General features: G+C 48.6%; 1 long non-coding RNA gene across 1 annotated transcript, besides 6 other annotated features; it reads left to right on the forward strand.

Annotated features, from left to right (window-relative positions):
* LOC100422781 (uncharacterized) lies at nt 447–9,027 on the forward strand. Its single transcript, NR_147505.1, has 2 exons — nt 447–1,206; nt 6,379–9,027. It is a non-coding gene; the product is annotated as an uncharacterized LOC100422781 (long non-coding RNA).
* Nucleotides 844–1,626: an enhancer, noted in NCBI's record as "H3K27ac hESC enhancer chr6:3232034-3232816 (GRCh37/hg19 assembly coordinates)". NCBI's record gives its function as "activates a minimal SCP1, AML or CMV promoter by ChIP-STARR-seq in naive H9 embryonic stem cells {active_cell/tissue: H9 hESC(naive)}" and the evidence as "EXISTENCE:reporter gene assay evidence [ECO:0000049][PMID:30033119]".
* Nucleotides 4,724–4,833: an enhancer, noted in NCBI's record as "active region_23886". NCBI's record gives its function as "activates an Ori minimal core promoter by ATAC-STARR-seq in GM12878 lymphoblastoid cells {active_cell/tissue: GM12878}" and the evidence as "EXISTENCE:reporter gene assay evidence [ECO:0000049][PMID:35858748]".
* Nucleotides 7,479–7,978: an enhancer, noted in NCBI's record as "H3K4me1 hESC enhancer chr6:3238669-3239168 (GRCh37/hg19 assembly coordinates)". NCBI's record gives its function as "activates a minimal SCP1, AML or CMV promoter by ChIP-STARR-seq in primed H9 embryonic stem cells {active_cell/tissue: H9 hESC(primed)}" and the evidence as "EXISTENCE:reporter gene assay evidence [ECO:0000049][PMID:30033119]".
* Nucleotides 16,139–16,704: an enhancer, noted in NCBI's record as "H3K27ac-H3K4me1 hESC enhancer chr6:3247329-3247894 (GRCh37/hg19 assembly coordinates)". NCBI's record gives its function as "activates a minimal SCP1, AML or CMV promoter by ChIP-STARR-seq in naive and primed H9 embryonic stem cells {active_cell/tissue: H9 hESC(naive and primed)}" and the evidence as "EXISTENCE:reporter gene assay evidence [ECO:0000049][PMID:30033119]".
* Nucleotides 20,519–20,813: a silencer, noted in NCBI's record as "tiled region #12113; HepG2 Repressive DNase unmatched - State 4:PromP, and K562 Repressive DNase matched - State 5:Enh". NCBI's record gives its function as "represses a minimal TATA promoter and a strong SV40 promoter by Sharpr-MPRA in HepG2 and K562 cells {active_cell/tissue: HepG2 | K562}" and the evidence as "EXISTENCE:reporter gene assay evidence [ECO:0000049][PMID:27701403]".
* Nucleotides 21,559–21,853: an enhancer, noted in NCBI's record as "tiled region #12515; HepG2 Activating DNase unmatched - State 4:PromP". NCBI's record gives its function as "activates a minimal TATA promoter and a strong SV40 promoter by Sharpr-MPRA in HepG2 cells {active_cell/tissue: HepG2}" and the evidence as "EXISTENCE:reporter gene assay evidence [ECO:0000049][PMID:27701403]".

A 23,075-nucleotide genomic window follows, 5' to 3' on the forward strand; every position in this document is an offset into this window, starting at 1 on the left:
GCCCCCATAGCTGGCTCTGCAGCCGAGATGCACGCGGTTTCCTAGGCAACCGACACTTAGCCAATGAATGAAGAGGAGTTGAAAGAAAGAGACTGCAAATCCATCATTATTTCCTTACACACACACACGCACACACACACACACACACACACACACACACATCACCTCTTCTCATAGCTCTCCATTTAGAAATATTGGAAAGCTACCAATCCTAGCATTTATGTAAAAGAGCCAAATGCCCGGGGCATGGGGGCTAGGAAGCGGTCGCAGCCCCATACTGTGACTGCGGAAAGGACACAGTGGAGGAAGCTCCCGGGATCCGCCAAGATCTGCGCCTTCTCAGCTTTGTCGCTCCCCAGTTTCTATTCCATTGCCCTCCCCCTTCCCCCCAGGCCTTCCCTCCTCCGCCTGGGAAGCCAGCGGCCCCGGCGGAGCTGCCCGGCACTGTTTAGTCGCAGGGGCTGCGGGGTGGCAGCCTCAGAGCCCTGTCCTTCCGCAGCCGTGGGCCCCGCAGGGACCAGCCAAGCAGGGCAACCAAAAGCTGGAACCAGCAGCGAAAACCCCGAGCCCACGAACGCAGCGCAGTGCGGGAACACTTGCCCTTTGTTCCTCAGTAAGGCCGGGTGTTTTCGCATCCCCGGAGGTTGTGAATTTGAGTTATAATGGCCTCGGTCGGGACTGAGAGAGCCGAGCTTCCACGAGAGAGCTTTGCCTGCTTTGTCCTACAAATCGGCGGAGGGAGTAGCATCCTGGCTTTTCTAGGGCGCCATTTCCCTGCTACAGGCAATCTCCCCTCCCCCACGCTGTCAATGATTTGTGGGATTCTTAGGCAGGCGGGGCAGGCCGAGCCCAGGGAATGCACGCTGAGTCCTAGACACAGAGCCAGGCCGGGTGGAAAACAAAAAGAGAAGAAGTGATTATGAAATAATAAGACGGACCGTGTGCCCCTTGCAAGGTGCGGCCTGCGAAATCAACAGACTTATAAATAAGGTCTGGTGGAAGCGCAGGAGCGCACGCGGGAGGCTATGGCGGGGGAACCTCTGTGAGTTCCGCGGCGGAGGCTAGAACATCGCTGTGGCTGCGGGACCCTCACCCGGCGCTGAAAACCCTCCACATCAGCTCCTGCTCGGAAATGTCTCCGCAGCTCACCAGTGCTTTTCGAAATCTGCCCAAGACCTTTGTTTGCCATTTAAATGAAATGAAAACGTGCGTATCCAGGTGGACACATCCATGCAGCAACACCCCTGCCTCTGGGCTCTAGATGCTTGGTGGGCGGGCAGTCACTGTGGCCACACTGCAGAGACAGCAGTGCAGTTTCCAAACGGAGTTCTTTGGGCTTCACATGCCCAGCCTGCTTCTTTTTTAAAATTTCTATTTTAATTTTAGATTCAGGGAGTCCATGTGCGGGTTTATTACGAGGGTATATTGCATGATGCTGAGCGTCCGGGCTTCTATCGACCTGGTTACCCAGATAGTGAACGTAGTACCCAATAGGGAGTTTTTCAGCCCTTGCTCTGCTCCTTCCTTCTCTCCTTTTGGAGTCCTCAGCGTCTATTGTTCCCATCTTTTTGTCCGTGTGCACCCAATATTTAGCTCCCACTTATAAGTGAGAACATGCAGTATTTAGTTTTCTGTTTCTGTATTATTTCGCTTAGGATAATGACCTTCAGCTGCATCCATGTTGCTGCCAAGGACGTGATTTTGTTTTCTTTTTTTTAAGGGCTGTGTAGTATTCTGTGGTGTGTGTGTACCACATTTTCTTAATCCATTCCACCATTGATGGGCACCTAGGTTGATTCCATGTCTTTGCTATTGTGAATAGTGCTATGAGGAACACAGGAGCTCATGTGTCTTTTTGGTAGAATGATTTTTTTGGGGCGGGGGGTATATACCCAGTAATGGGACTGCTGGGTTGAATGGTAGTTCTATTTTTAGTTCTTTGAGAAATCTCCAAACTGCTTTCCACAGTGGCCGAACTAATTTACATTCGCACCAACAGCAAATAAGCATTCCTTTTTCTCTGCAGCCTTGCCAATATCTGTTTTTTTTTGTTTTGTTTTGTTTTTACTTTTTAATAATAATGACTGCTGTGAAGTGGTATCTCATTGTGATTTTGATTTACATTTTCCTAATGATCAGTATGTTGAGCATTTTTTTCATGTTTGTTGGCCACTTGTATGTCTTCTTTTGAAAAATGTCTGTTCATATCCTTTGCTCTCTTTTTAATGGGGTTATTGATTCTTTTCTTGCTGATTTAAGTTCCTTATAAATTCTGGATATTAGTCCTTTGTCTGCGGCATATTGCAAATATTTTCTCCCATTCTGTAGGTTGTTCATACATCTCCATCAACTCTGTATTGCTTATAGTATGTGGTCCAAACACTTATCATACAATTCAGGTCCTTCAGTCTGGACATTACCTACCTTTCCAGTGTTATTTGCCACCCGTCTGGTATATGCAGTCCATTCCAGGGGACATTAACCTGCACACTGATCTCCAAAAAGGACATGCTCTCTGAAGTTTCTGAGTCTCTGCTCACACTAATCCATTACCTGGAATGACCCTCTCTGCTTCCTCGCCTGGGGCATCTCACTCATTCTTCATGATGCAGCTCATCTATCTGTGATACGTCCCACTAGTTGCCAGGAGCAATGGACTGCCTATGCTCTATGCCCCCAGTTTGCATCATAGGACTGGTACAGGTTTTGCATTTATTACATCAGAGCAGTGGTGTAATGAGTTTTCATTGTATATCTCTATTAACAAAAGAAAAAGGAGGGTATACATTCCCAATATATGTATATTTATTTATTCTTAAATTATATATATTTATTCTTATAAGCTAATATTCCAAGGCACAATATACTTAGTATGAGGTACATTGTTAATGATATCAGATATTAATATTTCCAACTTTTCTATTACTTCCAGTTTTATTTTGGCCAACATCTAGGCAGACTTGGGGTTCCTCATGACTTTCTTACCCTGAAATGGGCTTGACAGAGAGCTTATATAAAGGAGCAGAGTGTCAACCTGGCCATTTCCTTATTTTTTGTGCGTGTTCATATCACTAATGTCATCTTCATTTTGCAGCTTCTTTGCTGTCGGCTTTAAAGCCGCTTGCCAGTTGTGCAAGTCAGGGGAGCAAACAGGAGATAATATGCTCAGCAAACCCAGCTACAGTTCCTCCTTTATGGATCTCCCTTTCCAGGGAACAATTCATGACACATGGCCACAAAACATAAGCATCCTGTGAGGGCACCTGTGTCATTTTGAACTCTAACTACCTAAAGCATAATTTCTTTATTTTTATATGAAACAAACAGAGGTTCTGATTTTCTTCCCATGCTCCAACAGATGCTCTTGCCTGCCCCATTCTGAGAACTCCTGATTGGATTCGAGTTAGTTCATTGGCCTTTATACCTTCCACATTGCCTGAAACTAAGCACGGGCAAATAATAACAGAACTTGGGTTAAAAAAATCACAAATATAAGGCAATTAGGAAAAGCCCCCAGGTACCTCTAACCTGAAGCAGGAGCAGATTGTTCTGCAGATTAAGTACAAAGAAACCTTCCTCCTCTTTCTCCATAATTACCTCTTGGCCAGGTCCAGCCCACATCCCATCCTTCCCAGACTTTGCGGCTCCTGGCTGTGGTGAGCGTGGAAGGGCCTGGATGATATGCCCTCCTCTGCAATCATCTTTCACTTCCCTATAGCCATTTTCCTACGCCTGCGTTTTCACCCTTGTTTGTCTATGTTGGTAATGCATAACTAAGATTTCTGGTTAAGACAGAGTGGAAGGAGAGAAGGAAATACTTCCTCAGGAATCAGAGTTGAATTACTAGTCTGCACTTTCTTTTCTTTGTTCTTTCTTTCTTTCTTTCTTTCTTTCTTTCTTTCTTTCTTTCTTTCTTTTTCTTTCTTTCTTTTTTTTTTTTTTTTGAGACAGAGTTCGCTCTTTCACCCAGGCTAGAGTGCAGTGGCGTGATCTTGGCTCACTGCAACCTCCGTCTTCCGGTTTCAAGTGATTCTCCTGCCTCAGCCTCCCGAGTAGCTGGGACTACAGGCGCTCCCATCATGCCTGGCTGATTTTTGTATTTTTAGTAGAGACGGGGTTTCACCATGTTGGCCAGGCTGGTCTCGAACTCCTGACCTCGTGATCCACCCGCATTGGCCTCCCAAAGTGCTGGGATTACAGGCATGAGCCACTGTGCCCGGCCCCCTGCACTTTCTTGTTTGCTTATTTGTTTTTTAATTTTTTTTTTCTTTTTCTTTGTTTCTTTTTTTTGAGACAGAGTCTCACTCTGTTGCCAGGCTGGAATGCAGTGGCGTGATCGCAGTGCAACTTCCGCCTCCCAGGTTCAAGCAATTCTCCTGACTCAGCCTCCTGAGTAGCTGGGATTACAGGTGTGCCCCACCACGCCTGGCGAATTTTTGTATTTTTCGTAGAGACAGGGTTTCACCATGTTTGTCAGGCTAGTCTCGATCTCCTGACCTCATGATCCACCCGCCTTGGCCTCCCAAAGTGCTGAGATTACAGGGGTGAGCCACTGTACCCGGCCTATATTTTATTTTCTTAGAGACTAGGTCTCCCTATATTGTTCAGGCTGGTCTCAAACTCCTGGGCTCAAGCTATTCTCCTGCCTGGCCTCCCAACATGCTGAAATTACATGCGTGAGCCACCCCAACTGGCCCACTAGTCTGCACTCTCTTTCTTGGCATGCAAATCAGGGGTGTTAAACAGACTACTGTCTTGGTGATGAGGTCTGGAGAAGACAGAACCAAGTAAACTTTCTGCTTCTTTCAGAAGTCACTCAATGGAGGAAATGCAAACCCCAACTTTTAGGAAATTGAGGAAAGATAAAAAGTATCAACTTCCTGGAGCTCTTTGATAAAGGAAGGATCTTCTGGGCAAGTTAGAAAAAAGATCAAGTCACTCTTATAAGGTGGGGTGGGGAAATCAGGGTTGTTTCAGACTTTTCTAAAACAATAGTCAATGCTAGAAGATAATAAAACAATTTCTATAACATTTTCAAGGAAAATGTGCCCAAGGATTTTTTAAAGGTAACATATATTTTTGAACATAGAAGAACTAAAAAAATATTGTTCTTGTGAATCCTGTTTAGGGGAAAAAAAGGACCCCAGAGAATGTAGAAGTAGGTCTCAGAATGAAAGTACCATACAGAGGTTTGCAGGTACTGGCAGAGGCTGTGTGACAGCCTGTGAACTAAGGAATGAGGTGCCTCTGAAATGGCCTAGAGACAAATGCAGAAGTCCCTCAGCTGTGGAAAGCTCTGCGCCTTCAGGAAGGATGTTGACAGGCTCTTTCGAGGTGCTGCTAGGGGTCTGCCAGGTTCCCTGGCGGTTGGAATTATTACCTTGCAGGGAACTGGCTGTTTGTCAGTTTATTCTGGAAGCTATTCCTGCTACAAAGAGTAGAAGACATCAAGGGATGGAACAATAGACCGCATAAAACTACACTACCACATGAAAACACTGACTCTTAAACAATTGTGAGATTTTAGGCAGAAGATCAAAGCAGCAAAGCATCTTCTCAGGAACTCAGGGTACAGAACACAACTGTGTTTGAGGTGAGCAGGATGAGACAGTCAGGGGGCCTAAAGAAGGGAATCGGATTCCTGGAGAAAAGCTGCTTCTTATTTTTGCTGCTAAGGACAAATGTCACATAAAGAAACAGGACAAACTACTAGAAAGCCAAAACTCTGGGCCGGGCGCGGTGGCTCACGCCTGTAATCATAGCACTTTGGGAGGCTGAGGCAGGGGGATCATGAAGTCAAGAGATCAAGACCATTCTGGCCAACGTGGTGAAACCCCATCTCTACTAAAAATACAAAAATTAACTAGGCGTGGTGGAGTGTGCCTGTAGTCCCAGCTACTCAGAAGGCTGAGGCAGGAGAATCACTTGAATCCGGGAGGCAGAGGTTGCAGTGAGCTGAGAACGCGTCGCTGCACTCCAGCCTGGCGACACAACGAGACTCCGTCTTAAAAAAAAAAAAAAGCCAAAACTCTATGAAAAAAGTACACATTTTAATATAGCATTGGGTTAAATTTTCAGAGGGAAAAATATGTCACAATAAAGGCTAAGTTAAAAAAAAAAAGGCTAAGTTCCAACAAGCATAAGAAAAAAATAACCAAATTTCAGAGGTGCATGGAACAAATACTGGGGAAAGATGATTGGAATAAGAAATACACTGAGCTCAGGGAACTAACAAACTCGAATGTGAAATCTTTGAAAGATATATAAGAAACTACTGCTTACAAAGAGAGGGAAATTAAAGTTTTAAAACATTGCATTTTATAGTTGAAGCAGATCACTGGAGTGAGAAGGTTCTTTTTTTTCTTTTTTGAGATGTAGTTTCACTCTTGTTGCCCAGGCTGGAGTGCAACAGCATGATCTCAGCTCACTGCAACCTCTGTCTCCCGGGTTCAAGTGATTCTCCTGCCTCAGACTCCCAAGTGGCTGGCATTACAGGCATGTACCACCATGCTCGGGTAGTTTTGTATTTTTAGTAGAGACGGGGTTTCTCCATGTTGGTCAGGCTGGCCTCAAACTCCCGACCTCAAGTGATCCGCCTGCCTCAGCCTCCCAAAGTGCTGGGATTACAGGCGTGAGTCACCGTGCCCGGCCTCTTTTTCTTTTTTTAAAGAAATCAGAGAAGGAGGAGGATGAAGTGCTGATGGACAAATGTTTGCCAAATCCTTTGTTTCCAACATACCCTGACTGATGAGGGGTCATGTAGGCATGACATTCGACCAAAATTCTGCCAGAAAGCAAAAGAAAAAATCTTGCAGCAGAAAGTGGAGAGATTCTTAACGACCTCTACCGAGAGAAATGCATGGTTCTGAAAAAGAAGCTGATTCAGGACTGGTATAAATAGGAAAAGAAATGACAGAAGCTACCAGCTGCAGAGGAAATGAAAACTTACAAGCAGAGAAGTGAAGAAATGTTGAATGAATTATGGCCAACAGTGAGATCTCACCACCCCAGACCATCCTCGTGGTGAGAAGGCTCGTGACAGCTGGCCCGAGGTCATTGCTGGAGTGGAAGGTGAGCTATGCCAGCCTTGGATAGAAACTAATACAGCTGAATCCATGATTTCAGAGAGAAACCTTCACCAGGCTCCCCTGCTCTGTACGCTGATATTGGAGGAAAACAAGCTCTGCCCACTACCCACGTGGCCACTGGTCACTCCTACAGAATACACTTGGATGCATCCTCGCCATGGGGGGCTTCCGGGCCTCCTTGCGGTCTGCCTGTCATTCTCACTGGGCTCCGCCTCCTCCAGACTTAGAGAACATTGCAATGGTGAGACACGCTTTCCCATGCAGTCAGGGCCATCTCTTGGGGTTCTGGAGGGAGCTCGCCCTTGAGAATCAGAGGTCCCCAAGGCTCTGCTTCTGACCTGAAGTCACCACTTCGCCCTCATCCTGTCCCAGCGCAGAAGGACTCTTTGTCTCCACCTCATGCAAGATAGGAGAATGTCGTCAGGTTCCAGAGCTGCCCCTTCTCCAGCGGCGGCTTACAGGAGGACTCACAGCCTCCACCATCCTTCGGTGTGACAGTGGGCGGAGGACTCACAGCCTCCACCATTCCTTCGGTGTGACAGTGGGCGGAACGTCCTCCCTGCTTCGAATCCATTTCCATTTCCCATTTTTTATTTGCTTAGGCTGTCCTGAAATTGTGCTTTTTTTTTCTTTTTTTGAGACGGAGTCTCGCTCTTGTTGCCCAGGCTGGAGCGGGATCTCGGCTCACTGCAAGCCCCGCCTCTTGGGTTCAATCAATTCTCCTGCCTCAGCTTCCCAAGCAGCTGGGATTACAGGCACACACCACCATGCCCATCTAATTTTTGTATTTTTAGTAGAGATGGGGTTTCACCATGTTGGCCAAACTGGTCTCAAACTCCTGACCTCAGGTGATCCGCCTGTCTCAGCCTCCCAAAGTGCTGGGATTACAGGCGTGAGCCACTGTGCCCGGCCAAAATTGTGCATTTTGAGTCACACATGAAGAAGACTCTGAAGATGAAGCCATCTGAAGTATTACTTGCCTGTTTTATTTAGCATCAATTCCAGTAATTAACAAATTAAACATTATGAAACTGCTGTGAAAACACCTTTAATAAACATTTTTGAAGTTCAAAACTATTGTCAAAGTACTTCAGAATGGAAGAGAAAACCCTTACAACCTTATTGCAATTTGGAATGTAGTAAGGAGGTCCCCACCTCCACACCATAATAATTCCTTCGCTCAGGAATCAAATGATCTGGAATGCCACTCCCTGGGACTTGTTCCTTTGTGCTACGAGTTGCCTTTATCCTAGAAACCTATTTAAATCATGCAGTTCCTGAGTGGGCACCACACTGCCTCTAGTACCTTTAAAGGTACAGGAACTTTTCAGACTCAGCTGCCTTCAGGATCAGAAGAGCACAGGGCTAGTGCGTTCTGCTGAGTGGGAGGTGAGGGGGAGAAGCTACTCCTTGCCTCGTAATGCCTGCTCCTGAAGCCCCCGTGATTCTGGGTGTAGGACCGAGCAGACTACACCGGGGCTTTTCCCAGACAGACATTGGGAAAAGGCCTGGCTGACCTTCCCAGGACAATGCAGGTGACTGCAGTCCTCCTCCTGGTGAATGGGACAGTCACTGGGGAGTCCTACAGGCCTTTGGAAGTATTGCCGTACAGCCGGGCACACCCAGCTTTCATCCTTGCAAATGGCATTAGAAGCCATGGGATGTATCTGACAAATACTTCCCGTGCATCAGGCAGTGTTCTAGGCATCGGGAAGACAGCAGCAGACGAATCAGACAAAAGTCTCAGTCCTCCAGGAGCAAACACGGCAGGTGAAGCTGTAAAGTTAGAAGAGCGCGATTCCTCAGGTCGGCAGTTTCCCATGTTTTTGTTGTTTCCTGCTCGTTGCCCTTTATTGGATTTTTTATGCCAATTTCACTCTTTTCCATACCTTCCTCTTTTCTCTGTTAAATAGAGTGTGGTGAGACTGAGTAATTAAAGGCTGCAGATGACTTTGATGACAGTGTAATGAAAAGTCTGTGACAGCTTATTAGACCAAGTGCCATCAAGGTTATTTGAGTCACACTGACACTTTCAATAATGACACTGTTCCATCCCTGACCTGACTTCCCTTCGTCGCCCCTTTTTGTTCTCTCTTTCTCTCTCTGAATGATTGTAGATTACCTGGCACAGGAAAGTAAGTAACTGATACTGGGGGGAAAAAACCAAACAAACAAATAAACAAACTCTCAGCCTAAAAACCCATGTCTTTAGTCATTGTAGGATCCTCACCAAGGTGATCTCTAAATCAAAAGCCAAATTGTGTTGGAAAACACAAACTAAACAGTGCTAGCCACCTGTAACAACCACCCAAAATTTCTCCTTTATACCATAGCTATAGCCAGGAAAAACTGAAGCTTCAATACAAAATGAATTTTACCCCCCGGGCTCTCCTCCACGTGTCATCCCACTGCAGAAATACTGCGCAGAAGGACGAAGGTGAACTTATTTTCCCAAACTTACAGGTCCATTGTCAAGTTAGCCAGGGGGAGGTTTGGATGGCAGGCCCTCTTGGCAGGTCACTGTTTTTACAACAGCAATTTGATTTTAGAAGGCAGCAGGAGGCAGCTTAATTCACTCAGAAGAGGAGTTGCCCACCCAAATTTGCTTCCTCTGCCTTTTGCAGACTTGAGCTAAGAGGCCTTGGACACAATGCCCAGCCTGTCCCTGCCTCGCATCTGTAAACGAGAATAATAACATGCTTCCTCCTTTCCCCCAACACTGGGGAGCTGTGAGAAGAGATGGGATAGGCCGCTGCCACGTGTGGCCTTGCTCATCACATCGCACCTCCTCGTGTCAGATGGTAAGCCCTGGATGCCCTCATCTTATTCTCATTGTCTTCACAGGTCCAAGCTCCGTAACTGTCACATTCCAGATTTCAGATATCTGATGTCCTCCACACCACCACCACCCTGCCTTTGTCTTAAATCATTTTCTTTCTTTGATATATAAGTGTCATTTTGGGGGAAATATTTTCTTTTTTTTTTTTTTTGAGACAGAGTCTGGCTCTTTCACCCAGGCTGGAGTGCAGTGGCTGATCTCAGCTCACTGCAAGCTCTGCCTCCCGGGTTCGTGCCATTCTCCTGCCTCAGCCTCTGGAGTAGCTGGGACTGCAGGCACCTGCCACCGCGCCCGGCTAATTTTTTTGTATTTTTAGTAGAGACGGGGTTTCACCGTGTTATCCAGGATGGTCTCGGTCTCCTGACCTCGTGATCCACCCACCTCGGCCTCCGAAAGTGCTGGGATTACAGGCGTGAGCCACCACACACGGCCAAAATATTTTCATTTTAAGTTACTTCATGCCTCAGTTTCCCAACCCCAATATTATCTTCCAGTGTTCGGGTTCTCAAATATTTAAAATAAGTGGTCACAGACTTTGTAAATCTTCTGTCTCTAGGACATGGGTGTTGCTCCTTCACCTTGCTGCTTGTTCTCTGGGTGCTCACTTACTTGACTTTCTTTCTTTGCTTTGCCTCTCCTTCCTTCTCTTCCCTCCTCCATTTCTTGAATCTATCTAGTTTCTCCAAAAATTATTTTTTATTTTTATTTTACTGTAAGTTCTGGGATACATGTGCTGGACATGCAGGTTTATTACATAAGTATACGTGTGCCATGGTGGTTTGCTGCACCTGTCAACCCGTCGTCTTAGGTTTTAACCCCCCCGCATTAGGTATTTGTCTTAATGCTCTCCCTCCCCTTGCCCCCCACCCCAACAGGCCCCGTGTGATGTTCCCCTCCCTGTGTCCATGTGTTCTCATCGTTCAGCTCCCACTTATGAGTGAGAACATGTGGTGTTTGGTTTTCGGTTCCTGTGTTAGTTTGCTGAGAATGATGGTTTCCAGGTTCATCCATGTCCCTGCAAAGGACATGAACTCATTCTTTTTTATGGCTGCATAGTATTCCATGCTGTATAAGTTCCACATTTTCTTTATCTAGTCTATCACTGATGGGCATTTGGGTTGATCAATAATTATTCTTAAGTGTGATTAGCCTAACCACTGAAAGTACTCCAAAAAAGACCAAGGGTAGTTGCGGGCCCATTTCTGTGCCTTTGGCAGGTGATTGAGTATATGGGTGTGTGTGTGTGCATATGTGTAACCAGCAAGCTGCACATAGCTGTCTTCACTTCTGCCTGACCCCCAGGCCTGTCTTCTGCCTTGGAGATGCCTCTGCAATCTTTCTCCTTTTTTTTTTTTTTTTTTTTTGATCAAGTTTCCCTCTCGTTGCCCAGGCTGGAGTGCAATGGCGCAATCTTGGCTCACTGCAACCTCTGCCTCCCGGGTTCAAGCAATTTTCCTGCCTCAGTCCTCCAAGTACCTGGGATTACAGATTACAGGCATGTGCCACCACTTCCAGCTAATTTTTTTGTATTTAGTCGAGATGGGGTTTCACCATATTGGCCAGCTGGTCTCGAACTCCTGAACTCAGATGATCCACCTGCCTCAGCCTCCCAAAGTACTGGGATTGCAGGTGTGAGCCTCCGCGCCTGACCCTTTCTCCTTCTTATGTGTATGAGATGTTTGCATTGTCCCTCCTTTTGAAAAATTGTCACCTTAAACTATATTGCCATAATAAGTGAATGTAAAATTCAATACTATCACCCCTCTATGTTTCTACATATAATTCAACTCAATTCTTTGTTAATAACTGATGATGATTTCTACTTTTTCCAGTGATTTCCACCTACCATGCCTTTCTGCTGTTCCTCATCTGTGTATACTTCTTTCCATGAACCCATCCAGCACTTCCCTATGATACTCTCAGCAGGCCAGTCTGATCACGTCCTGAGTCCTTTCCCATCCACAAAAGGTGTTTTTGTGCTGTAAGACAGAGGGAGCGCTGAGGCCTGGAGGCTTGCCGGGGCTTTGACTCTGGGATGAAAGGATGTTGTCCTTTCCACATCACTCACTAATTCTTTTCTCACTCTGCTTTGCCCTCCTGGGACTCAGGTGCCATTTATTCTTGAATTGTCCCTTGTTTGGTGTCAGAGAGTTTCCACTCTCTGGAGTACTGCCCATGGTGCGATTCCAGAAGGGAAGAGGCTTGCATTTCTTCTGTGCAATAGGGGAAGCTTGAGCTTGAAAGGGCAGTTGATAAAGAAAGACAAGCTCTCAGAACCAGAACACTCGCCAGTAGAGCATGTCTGTATAGGAAAGACTATAGGTGTCAATTTTAGATCTGGAAACCAATCCTTGACAGCTATTCATGACTCTGCACCCCTCCAACGTCTTCATGTCCCCAGTCTACTAGCTTCACTTTGAAGCCCACTGTTATAGCCCAGTCGCCCAATGAGGGAGAGGAAATCTCTGTGAGTCCCAAATGCTAAGTCCTGGAAAAGGGATTCTGTTGGCTCCAGTCTCTGGGTTGGAAACTTAGAATCTTCAGTCTCCTGGATGAGCACTTTGAGGAGCCCACTGTGGCAAACGTGGGGTGGCAGAAGGGGTCTCTTCTAGAAAAGTGTTCGTGGCAGGGCACAGACAAAGTTGGAGTGTGGTAGGTTGGGAGGCTGGGGGTCGGGAGCCCTCCAACTACTATAGGGAATTTTCATTTCCAGCTGTGAGAAGACAGTTTACCCTAGCATAAAGCCAGATTGTAGATCATTTAACTTTAACGGCGATTAGAGTTTGTTTGTTTGCTTTTTGAGATAGGGTCTCCCACTGTTGCCCACAGTGACGCCATCTCAGCTCACTGCAGCCTCAACCTGCTGGCCTCAAGTGATCCTCCCACCTCAGCCTTCTGAACAGCTGGGACTACAGGTGCATGCCATGATGCCTGGCCAATTGTTTTTTATTATTATTTTTCGTAGAGACAGGGTCTCACTATGTTGCCCAGGCTGGTCTTGAACTCCTGAGCTCAGGTGGTCCTCCTGCCTCAGCCTCCCAAAGGGCTAGGATTACAGGCATGAGCCACCACACCCCAACCTACCTATTAGAATGGAAAGATTCTGCCAGGATTTTATGAGTCTGTTTTCTCTGCTCTCAGCTCTGTCTCAGCCATGAAGTCTGGAAAGATAAAGGAGGAATCAGTGAAGGTGCCATCTCTCCTCTCAGGTTCCCTTCCACTCTGCTCCAAGAATTTCCATGATGAAGAGAGCTGGCTGGAGGGCAGGATTCAGGTGGTGACTTACTCATTCTTCAGCCTCAGATAGGCTTTGCTCCAAGCGCAGGGCAGCACCTGGGAGGCTGTGGGAGCTCTTTCAGTCAGCAAGTAGGCAAGTACATTGTATTATATGCAGAGGTGTTTTGTTTATGGGTGTTGTGCTATTGTTGTTGTTGGACTAAATACAAGGTCCTATAAAAGGCCCAGAGGGAAGGGGTAAGCTGGGCAGGGTATAACAGAAGCAGTGGGTGACATCATCAGGCATGCTGCCACATTCTCTCTAACCTGGAGAGAACCTTAAATACACACTTCCGAGACGAACCCAGATTGCACAAACAAAACAGAAGAGCCAAGTGGGAAGAGCATAGCATTTGGAATCAAATGGCACACTAAAAAAAAAGGCGGAAACAAGGAATATTAATACCTCCCGATATGGTTACTGTCAACACCTAAAGCTCATAAATGCAGTTCCTGACACAGGGTAGGTGCCCAGTGATTGGAACAGTTATCATCAGTGTTATATTACACAATGGGTGTCAGTCTCAGTCCATTTAGGTTGCTATAACAAAGTATCTTAGACTGGGGAATTTATAAACAACAGAAATTTATTGCTGATAGTTCTGGAGGCTGAGAAGGCGCCCGCAGATTCCATGTCTGGTGAGGGCTCTTTGCTTCGTGGCACCTTGTTGTTGTGCCCTTATGTGGCTGAAGGAGAAAGCAGCTCTCTGGCGCCTTTTAATTTTTTTTTTTTTTTTTGGAGATGGAGTCTTGCTCTGTCACCTAGGCTGGAGTGCAATGACGCAATCTCGGCTCACTGAAACCTCGGCTCACTGCAACCTCCACCTCCTGGGTTCCAGAGATTCTCCTGCCTCAGCCTCCCAAGCAGCTGGGACTATAGGTGTGTGCTACCATGCCCAGCTAATTTTTGTATTTTTGGTAGAGACGGGGATTCACCATGTTGTCCAGGCTCGTCTCGAACTCCTGACCTCAGGTGATCTACCTGTCTCAGCCTCCCAAAGTGCTGGGATTATAGGCGTGAGCTATTGCACCCAGCCTGGGGCCTTTTTAATAACAGCACTAACTTCCCAAAGGCCCTATCTCTTTATCCCATCACCTTGGGGGTTGGAGGGAAAAGTCTAGGAGTCAGGACTGAGAAGACGGATCTGCACTTCAATGCCATCGCCATGGAAGAAAGCACTAGGAGCTACGTGGAATGAGTGGGAAAAGCGCAGACTTTATGCCAGGAATCCTGGTTTCACTCTCAACCCACTGCATGGACCCGGGGGCAAGTTACACAACTGGTCTGATGTTTGGCCTCCTCAGCCTGACTTTGAAATAATATCTTCCTCATGGGGTTACTGTGAGGGATAGAAATGGTTTAAAGAAGGACCTAGGATAGTACTAGGCATAGAGGAGGCAATGGCTAAGTCATGGTTCCTACCATGCTGAGAAGCTGGGGATGGTGGGTTCTTAGCAACAGCTTCAAGAGAGGAGTGTTCAGAAATTGGGCTACTTACCCAACAGGGCTCTTGGAAATGAAATTGATTCATAAGACTGAAAAATTATAAAATAAGATATTTGTAGAGTCGGTAACAATCTGTGAATTATTTTGGGTTATTGGAGGAGGACCTGTTATGGTTTGGGCAGCAAAGTATACAGAATCTCATTAGGGTGATGGGACTTCTTGGTTAAAAATATACCTAAGATGACAGACCTTCCAGGCCAGGGTTGCTTTTTATTTATTTATTTTTTATGTTTTTATTTATTTTTTTGAGACGGAGTCTTGCTCTGTCACCCAGGCTGGAGTGCAGTGGTGTGATCTTGGCTCACTGCAACTTCCGCCTCCCGGGTTCAAGCGATTCTCCTGCTTCAGCCTTCCAAGTAGCTGGGATTACAGGCATCCGCCACCATGCCCAGCTAAATTTTGTATTTTTAGTAGGGACAGGGTTTCACCATGTTGGCCAGGCTGGTCTCGAACTCCTGGCCTCAAGTGATCCGCCTGCCCCTGGCTCCCAAAGTGCTGGGATTACAGGCCTGAGTCACTGCGCCCAGCCCCAACTTTTTAAATTTTAAAATTTTCATTGTGATAAAAACCACATAGCATAAAATTTGCCACGTTAACCATTTCTAAGTGCACAGTTCAGTGGCATGAAGCATGGGGGTGCAACTGTCACCACCGTCCATTCCAGAACTTTTCATCTCCCCAAACTAAAACTCTGTCCCCATTAAACACCAATTTGCTGTTCCCGCAGCCCTTGGCCACTCCCATTCTACTTTCTGTTTTTTTATGTGAATTTAATTACTCTAGCCACCGCCTATGAGTGGACTCATACAGTATTTGTCCTTTTTTGTCTCTCACTTAGCAAATGTCCTCAAGGTTCATCCATGCTGTGACCTGTGTGAGAATTCCCTCTCTTTATAAGATAAGATTGCCTTTGTAAGTGGGTGCCCCAGGCGTTCAGCTGAGGGTTTTTCCATAGGATCTGGTCAACTGGGAGCATTTTGCTGAATTTAGTTCTGCTTTTTCCTGTACCCCCGATGCCTTCCTTACCTTGGCATCGCTGTCCTGATTCCTGTACCAGCTTCCTAACCTGCTCCATCCTGTGCTCTCCCGCCTTTGTGCTCAGTCTTGCCCCCATCTTCTAATCACCTTGCAGTTCCCAGAGCTGCTTGTGTCTCTTACCTGTTCATCTGGGCCCGGCGTGGTGGCTCACGCCTGTAATCCCAGCACTTTGGGAGGCCAAGGCTGGTGGCTGGCTTGAGCTCAGGAGTTGGGGATCAGCCTGGGAACACAGTGAGACTTTGTCTCTACAAAAAATAAACAAAATTAGCCAGGTGTGGTGGCATGTACTTGTAGTCGCAGCCACTTGGGAGGCTGAGGTGGGAGGATTACTTGAGCCCAGGAGGTCAAGGCTGTAGTGAGCTATGATCACACCACTGCACTCTAGCCTGGACAACAGAGTGAGACCCTGTCTCAATTTGGAAAAAAAAAAGGTGCACTGACCACGGGTGTCCAGCATTCCAGAAGCCCACTTGGTGTTCTCCTCATCTCCTACCCCAACAAGCAGCTACTGCCTTGCCCTCCAGCAGTAGGTGTTAGCTCTGCAGGCTTCAGGAGTTGATAGAAATGGAATCCGACAGTATGTACTCCGTGTACATTCTTTTTGTGAGACTCACCCGTGTTCTCGCACATTCCATAAGCATCCCATGCATTCCTAGCTCCTTTAGATGCTGTGAACTGGGGACGGTTGACTGTGTCGTATTTATGTGTGTGTCTGCCTCCCGGTTCCAGCGGAGGGCGAGGCGGGGGTCATCGTTCTGAAGGGCATCTTTGTGTCTTCCCAGCACTCAGGACAGTGCCTGGCACACAGATGCTTCAGTAAATGTTTGCCGAGTGAACCCGATGAATGGGCATTTTGTCACTGGGTCTTTTCATTTATTCCTTGGCTTGCTCCCTGTCTCCCCTTGAAACACAGCTGCTTTCATTGACCGCGTCTTTATTTGTTGGGTGGATGTGCTTGTTTTCAGTGCCAGGAAGGAAAAACAAGCACAGAAGTCGCCCCTCCCGGGCAGCCATATTCCCGGCTAAGAAGCCCTCCTTTGTGCCAAGAGCAGAACCGTCTATGGCTGGGTGGAGGGTCACAGCCTGTGGGACGGTGCGGAGAGGCAGGGGGGTGCGGCGAGCTCTGGGCTTGCAGGCAGGCGGTGACTCATGCAGAGTCCGGCCACCGGTGCGGGAAAAGGGCTTTGACGTTCTCAGCAAAACCCCAAGGCGAGCTCCGAGCAGCCCACCTGCCCCTCCCACCCACGCAGGGCCTTGCAGATGAATCTGCTTCTGTATCACATGATCCGTTTCAGCAGGAGAGAGACGGAGAGAAACAGCCTTTTGTTCTGCCAGCCTCCATGATTGCGTATCTTAGGCACAACGCTCTGAAGTCAGGCTGAGGATTCTAATAAAACTTGGGAAGCTTTACCCGGAAGACAAGGTGCTCTTTCACTAGGCATGATTTGGACCCAGGATATAAATTCTCTTTCGTGGGACGGGAGAGTTGTGTCTTTGCTTATCCTCGGGGAGTCTCACTGTGCCCCACTGATCATGCGTGCCTTCCAAAGCTGTCAGGTAGCCCCTCCACAATCACACATATGTGCAACCACATATTTTCCAACCCAAACGAGGGTACACACCATCTGGGGAGGGATTCCCCCTTCCCATATGCGTGAATTCGTTTAGCTAAAAAGCATTAACAGTCACAAAATAAAATCACATTGAGACCCACATTTTAATGGAAACACTGGACCTTTGGGGTTGTGCTGGAGATTTTGAGATCTGGGATAAGAAACCCAGAGTGAGCAGGTGGAACAGTTCCCACTGGCTTTGGTGACATGGCCCCAGGACTGCTGTCTACCTGGAGGGCCTGTTTGGAGCTGATTTCGGAGAGGTGGTGGCTACACTCCTCGCCACTGTGTGCACGGTGCCTGACCTTGCCTGGAAGCCTGCGTGTTCACTTAAATTCAGGTCCTCTGTTCAGCACCCCATAGCTCCTCACGGATCCTCACCCTCCATCCCTGCCTGGGATCCCCACTCTTCCACCTGGAAAGGGGTGCAGGGAGGTGGTCCAGGATCCAAGCCTCAGCTCCACCCTCAGCGACTAAGTGCCTTGTGGGCTCTTCATTTATTCAGCGTTCAGTTCCTTTTTTGAAAAGTGAGTCATGGCTGGGTGCGGTGGCTCACGCCTGCAATCCTAGCACTTTGGGAGGCTGAGGCGGGTGCATCACCTGAGGTCAGCAGTTCGAGACCAGCCTGGCCAACATGGCAAAACCCCGTCTCTACAAAAAGTACAAAATTAGCCAGGCATGGCTGTAATCCCAGCTACTAGGGAGGCTGAGGCAGAAGAATTGCTTGAACCCAGGAAGCAGAGGTTGCAGTGAGCCGACATCAAGCATTGCAATCCAGCCTGGGCAACAAAAGCTAAACTCCATCTCAAAAAAAAAAAAAAAGAAAAGAAAGAAAGAAAAAAAGAAAAGTGAGTCATTATACCTGCTGCCTCGGGATTTGTATTTTATTTTTACTTTATTTAATTAATTTATTTAGAGACAGGGTCTCACTCTGTTGCCCAGGCTGGAGTGCAGTGGCGGGATCATAGCTCACTGCAGCCTCTGACTCCTGGGCTAAATCGATCCTCCCACCTGAGCCTCCTGAGGAGCTGGGACTACAGGTGGATGCCACCATGTTTGGCTTTGCTGGGATTTCTGTGAGGCTCTTCAAATATATGACCTGACTCTTACCCCACTAGGCTACTCTACCCCCCGTCCCATGCTGCCCTACAGCACTGCTCACCCATTTCCCCTGCCCAGCACACCCTCTTCTCTTCCTCTAGCCTAACTCACCCTGACATCTCAGGCCCAGCTACCTGACCAGCCTGGCTCAGCCCCTTCTTACTCCTGAACTGTGTGGTGTTTCATGCTCTGTCTTCTATTGTTGGTTTTCATTCTGTGTTTGCTGGTCTTGTCTCTGCAACAAGCTGTCTGTGCCTGGAGATCCAATCAAATACACAATAGTGTGCACGGAGCTCAGTGCATAGAAAATCTGCTGGAAGAAAGGGTTAGCAAGATGAGGACCAACTACCCAACTGCTCTCATGCTGGAAATCTCCTTTCTGTTGTGCTGTGCTTAATCTGCCATCTTGTTACTGCCCTTCCCTAAAGCAAGTGGGTAAAAAAGCTGGGCTGCCCCCCAGGCCTAGCCTGATGGGGAGGAATCTTTTTATTCATCACTCATGGTTCCTACTGAGCCACAGCCCAGGGCTGGCCCTACACCGCAGGGGCAGGGTTGGGGAAGGTAAAATTTGGGCTCCTGCTGCCCCTGCCTCCACAGCAGCAGGGGTCGGGTGGAGTGAAGACAGGGTGCCTCCCTAATGCCCTTCATGGGGTTGCCCAGGGTCTAAGGCCAGAGCTGTCCTCTGGGTAGGGCAGGGCTGTATTGACACTTGCTCGGTTAAGAAAACTGTATTGACATTTTAGGAAGAGTTATAGAAAAATCTCATTCTGGTTGATTCTGCCTGTGAATCACAGTGATGTGAGGCTTAACTTGTTTCCATCCACTTTAAGCCTTTTTCCTCTGGACGAAACAGGATTATCCTATTTTTCCTTTTGAACCAGGGCCTGATGACATCAGAACTTGGGCAAGCCTTCTTCTTTTGTGTACTGGGAAACGGCTGCTGCTGGCCAAAGTGTTTTGTCTGTGCTTGTGAAGGGTGAGTGGGGACAGCTGGGACCCACAGCTGGAAGAATGCAGGTGCTGCTGAGATGGGGAAGCCTGTGGGAAAGCAGGCTTGGAGGGAAACCGCACAGTAAGTTGGAGGTTTCTGATGGAGATGCCGAGTAGGCAGCTGACCATATGCACTGGAGCTCAGGCGAGAGGTTGGCTCCAGAGAAACCAGTGTGGGAGTCATCCGTGTGCAGAAGGAATTAAGCCATGGGCTGCGGAGCTGGAGAGAATAGGACGCTGGACGCTTCTGCTGCACAGGTGGGACTATGACGAAGAACCAGCCAAGGAGCCTGAGAAGGAGGGACCTGGAGGGACGAGGCACCAAGACAGAGCAGCGCCCCAGAAATCAAATGCTGCCCGTTGAGCAAGGAAGAGACTAAGATGTGGCGTGGTGACCTTGGTGGAAGCAGTTTAGTGAAATGTCAGGAAAGAAGCGAGTTCACAAGAGCAAGGGAAGAGAGGAATTGAAAACAGCACATATGAAGCCTTTTTCCAGGAGTTTTGCTGTAGAGGGAAGCAGAGATACGGGGAGGTAATCAGAGTGAATGTATGATCAAAGGAAGATTTTTGTTGTTGTTTTGAGACAGGATCTCATTCTATCGCCCAGGCTGGAGTGCAGTGGTATAATCATAGCTCACTGCAGCCTGGAACTCCTGGACTCAAGTGATCCTCCCACCTCAGCCTCCAAAGTAGCTGAGTCTACAGGTGCACACCACCACGCCTGGCTAAGTTTTCATTTTTTGTAGAGACAAGTTCTCACTATGTTGCCAGGCTGACCTCAAACTCCTGACTTCATGTAGTCCTCCCACCTCGGCCTCCCAAAGCACTGGGATTACAGATGTGAGCCACCTTGCCCAGCTGGTCACGGAGCAGTTTTCTTATCCATCATCTTTGAATCTTTGTTCTTAATGAAATTCATGCCAGACAAAGGCTCACAATCTAACCTGGTCGGAGAAAGAGGAGGGGGTGAATCAAACACCCTAGGAAACCTTGCTTTTTCTCTTCGAATCGGCCTCTTTCGCCTTCTGCTGCTGGGCGGTTTTACATTTGTGGGCTGTGAACTACCCGGGGACCAGGACCCCCGTGCTTCATCTGCAATTGCAGAATCTGGAGAAATAAACTGTCCTGCCCGAGTGATCTGCAGGAGCAAGAATCCAGTAACTCCCATCGCTTTCTGAAAGCAAAGGCAGCTCTCAACCTGCCCGCTTCCTTCCCACCTGCCACCTAGTGGCCCCCTGCAGAATGACATGGGCGGCAGTGAAGGGCTCCAGTTACCATTCGGCTCTCTTATCTGATCTTCATAGGGTATTAGCTCGGGAAGGCGCCTTAGAGACGATCTAAGCCAATCGTCTCAATTTACAGCTAAGATAACAGACCTAGAATAAAGGTATAGAGATAATTAGTGGTAGAGCTAGGACTAGAGCCTAAGACCCTGATGAGGCCTGCAGTGAGGTCCTTCTGTGTTCTCTCACTCAACCATTCAATCAACTTTCGCTATCTGCCTTACATGCAGAGTCCAAGGCTGTGCACTGCACTGCAGACGAAAGGCCCTGTCGCTATCCTTAGGAGCTTCCTGAGAGGAAGGTGGGCATGCAGAAAGACCATTACATAAAATATATCTTATTTTACATTGCATACAATGATTGCTCTATAGGAGGTAAAAATGAGGGCCAAGAGAAGCTGCCGCCAGCCTGCCTGGAGCCAGGGAAGGCTTCCCTGAGGGGTGGTGTTGGGGTGAACCTCAGGAGTACTAGTCTCTCAGGCAGGTAAGGCAGGGCAGGCCCAGGCCCAGTGGCGCCGTGTGTGGTGGTACACGGGGCAGATACTGAACTGTGGAGTTATTGCCTGAGCGTGACATCAGGGACAGACACGAAGGGGACCAGCAGCTAGGTGAGGGGCCTTGTGTGTCTGCAAAGGTGTTTGGGCTACACATCACCAAAGAATTATTAGAAGGCGTAGCATCATCAGACATATTGCTTCAATAGATCTCTCTGGCAATAGTGAGAAAGAAAAATTGGAAGCCAGTGAAACAAGAAGCAAGGAAACATCAGAATGTCACAGCAGCAGTGCAGGCCAGTGTGGGAGATGTGAGCAGGCAGCGCTGCTGCAGTAACTGGGAAGAGTCTCATATTTACGGTTGGGAAATGAATGCGTCTGGTCTGTGCACCACTGTCCGGAACACAGTCAGGCAAGCTGGCCGCGGGTAGGACAGGAGAGGAAGGGAGGAGCTGCTCAGTGTGGTTGCGCCGAGGGGCCGGTGCTGTGAGTCAGGTGGGAACGCCTGCAGGCTGCTGGGTGTGCCTGTGGCTCTGAGAGCAATGCTAGCCACAGATTCACTTTAGTTGAGGAACAAAATCAGCCAGAAAGGGCGAAAGCGGCTGTCAGAATTGACCATGCACATTGCGCCCAAGTGGCCATGCCTTTAATCCGTTGTCTTCAACAGAAAGTCCCCACAGGAAAGACCTTAGGCAAGGCAGTTCTCAGGAGCTGAACAAATCCCTATGGGGGATGACACTTGAAGGCTCTGTGCTCCCAGCAGCTGGGCGACAGTTCTTCCCTGGCAAGGGGATCTGCCCTTCCCAGGCTGGAGTTGCTGTTTCCTCCATTTACTGTCACAGTTGGGCAAGGGAGTCCCCTGTGGCGCCCAAGTAGATCAGCTGAGTACCGAATACCTTCCTTGCTCCTCCCACAGGGTGTCAACAGCCCTCTTCCTGCTGATGACCAGGGTGGATCTCCCTTGCCAGGATGGTGACTGTTCTCAACTCACCAAGGAGCCCAAAGTGCCCCACAGCAGCCATGGCTTACTGCTTAACGGGGCTCTTGCTAAGTCTCAGGTGGAAGTGTTCTCCCTTTGGGATATGGGGCTTCTAATCCTGCAGTCCACAGGCGCAGGTTTGGGAAGCCCACTCTCCTCAGTGGACTGTTGGAAGTGACAGCCATTTTTGCCTCCACTTCTTGGTTCCCTGTTTCTTGTAGTCTTTTCACTGGGGACATGGTAAAAGGTGACAACCTGCTAGCTGCCCTCGCTCGCTGTCGGTGCCTCTTCTGCCTCGACGTCCTCTCTCGCCGCGCTTGAGGAGCCCTCTAGTCCGCCGCTGCACTATGGGAGCCCCTCTCTGGGGCTGGCCGAGGCTGGAGCCGACTCCCTCTGCTTGCAGGAAGGCGTGGACCGACAGGCGCGGGCGGGAACAAGGGCTGGGCGGGGCGCTCAGCGCGAGTTCCGGGTGGGCGCGGGCTTGGCATGCCCCGCGCTCGGAGCAACCGGCCGGCGCCACCGGCCCTGCACAGTTAAGAACTTAGCACCCCGGACAACAGCTGTGGAAGGGGCCCCGGGTCCCCCAGCACTGCCGGCCCGCCCGCGCCGCGCTAGAATTTTCACCGGGACTCAACCGCCTCCCCGCAGAGCAAGGCTCGGGACCTGCAACCCGCCATGTCTAACACCCCCGCGGTGGGCTCCCGCGCGGCCCAAGCCTCCCCGGCAAGTGCCACCCCCTGCTTCTCGGCGACCGGTCCCATCGACCGCCCAACGGCTGAATAATGCAGGCGGTGACTGGCAGCTCCGCCCGTGGCGCTGGCGGGGGATCCACTTAGGAAACCCAGCTGGGCTCCTGAATTGGGTGGGG

The sequence above is a fragment of the Homo sapiens genome, chromosome 6 (assembly GCF_000001405.40).
Source record: "Homo sapiens chromosome 6, GRCh38.p14 Primary Assembly".
NCBI classification, from domain to species: domain Eukaryota; kingdom Metazoa; phylum Chordata; class Mammalia; order Primates; family Hominidae; genus Homo; species Homo sapiens.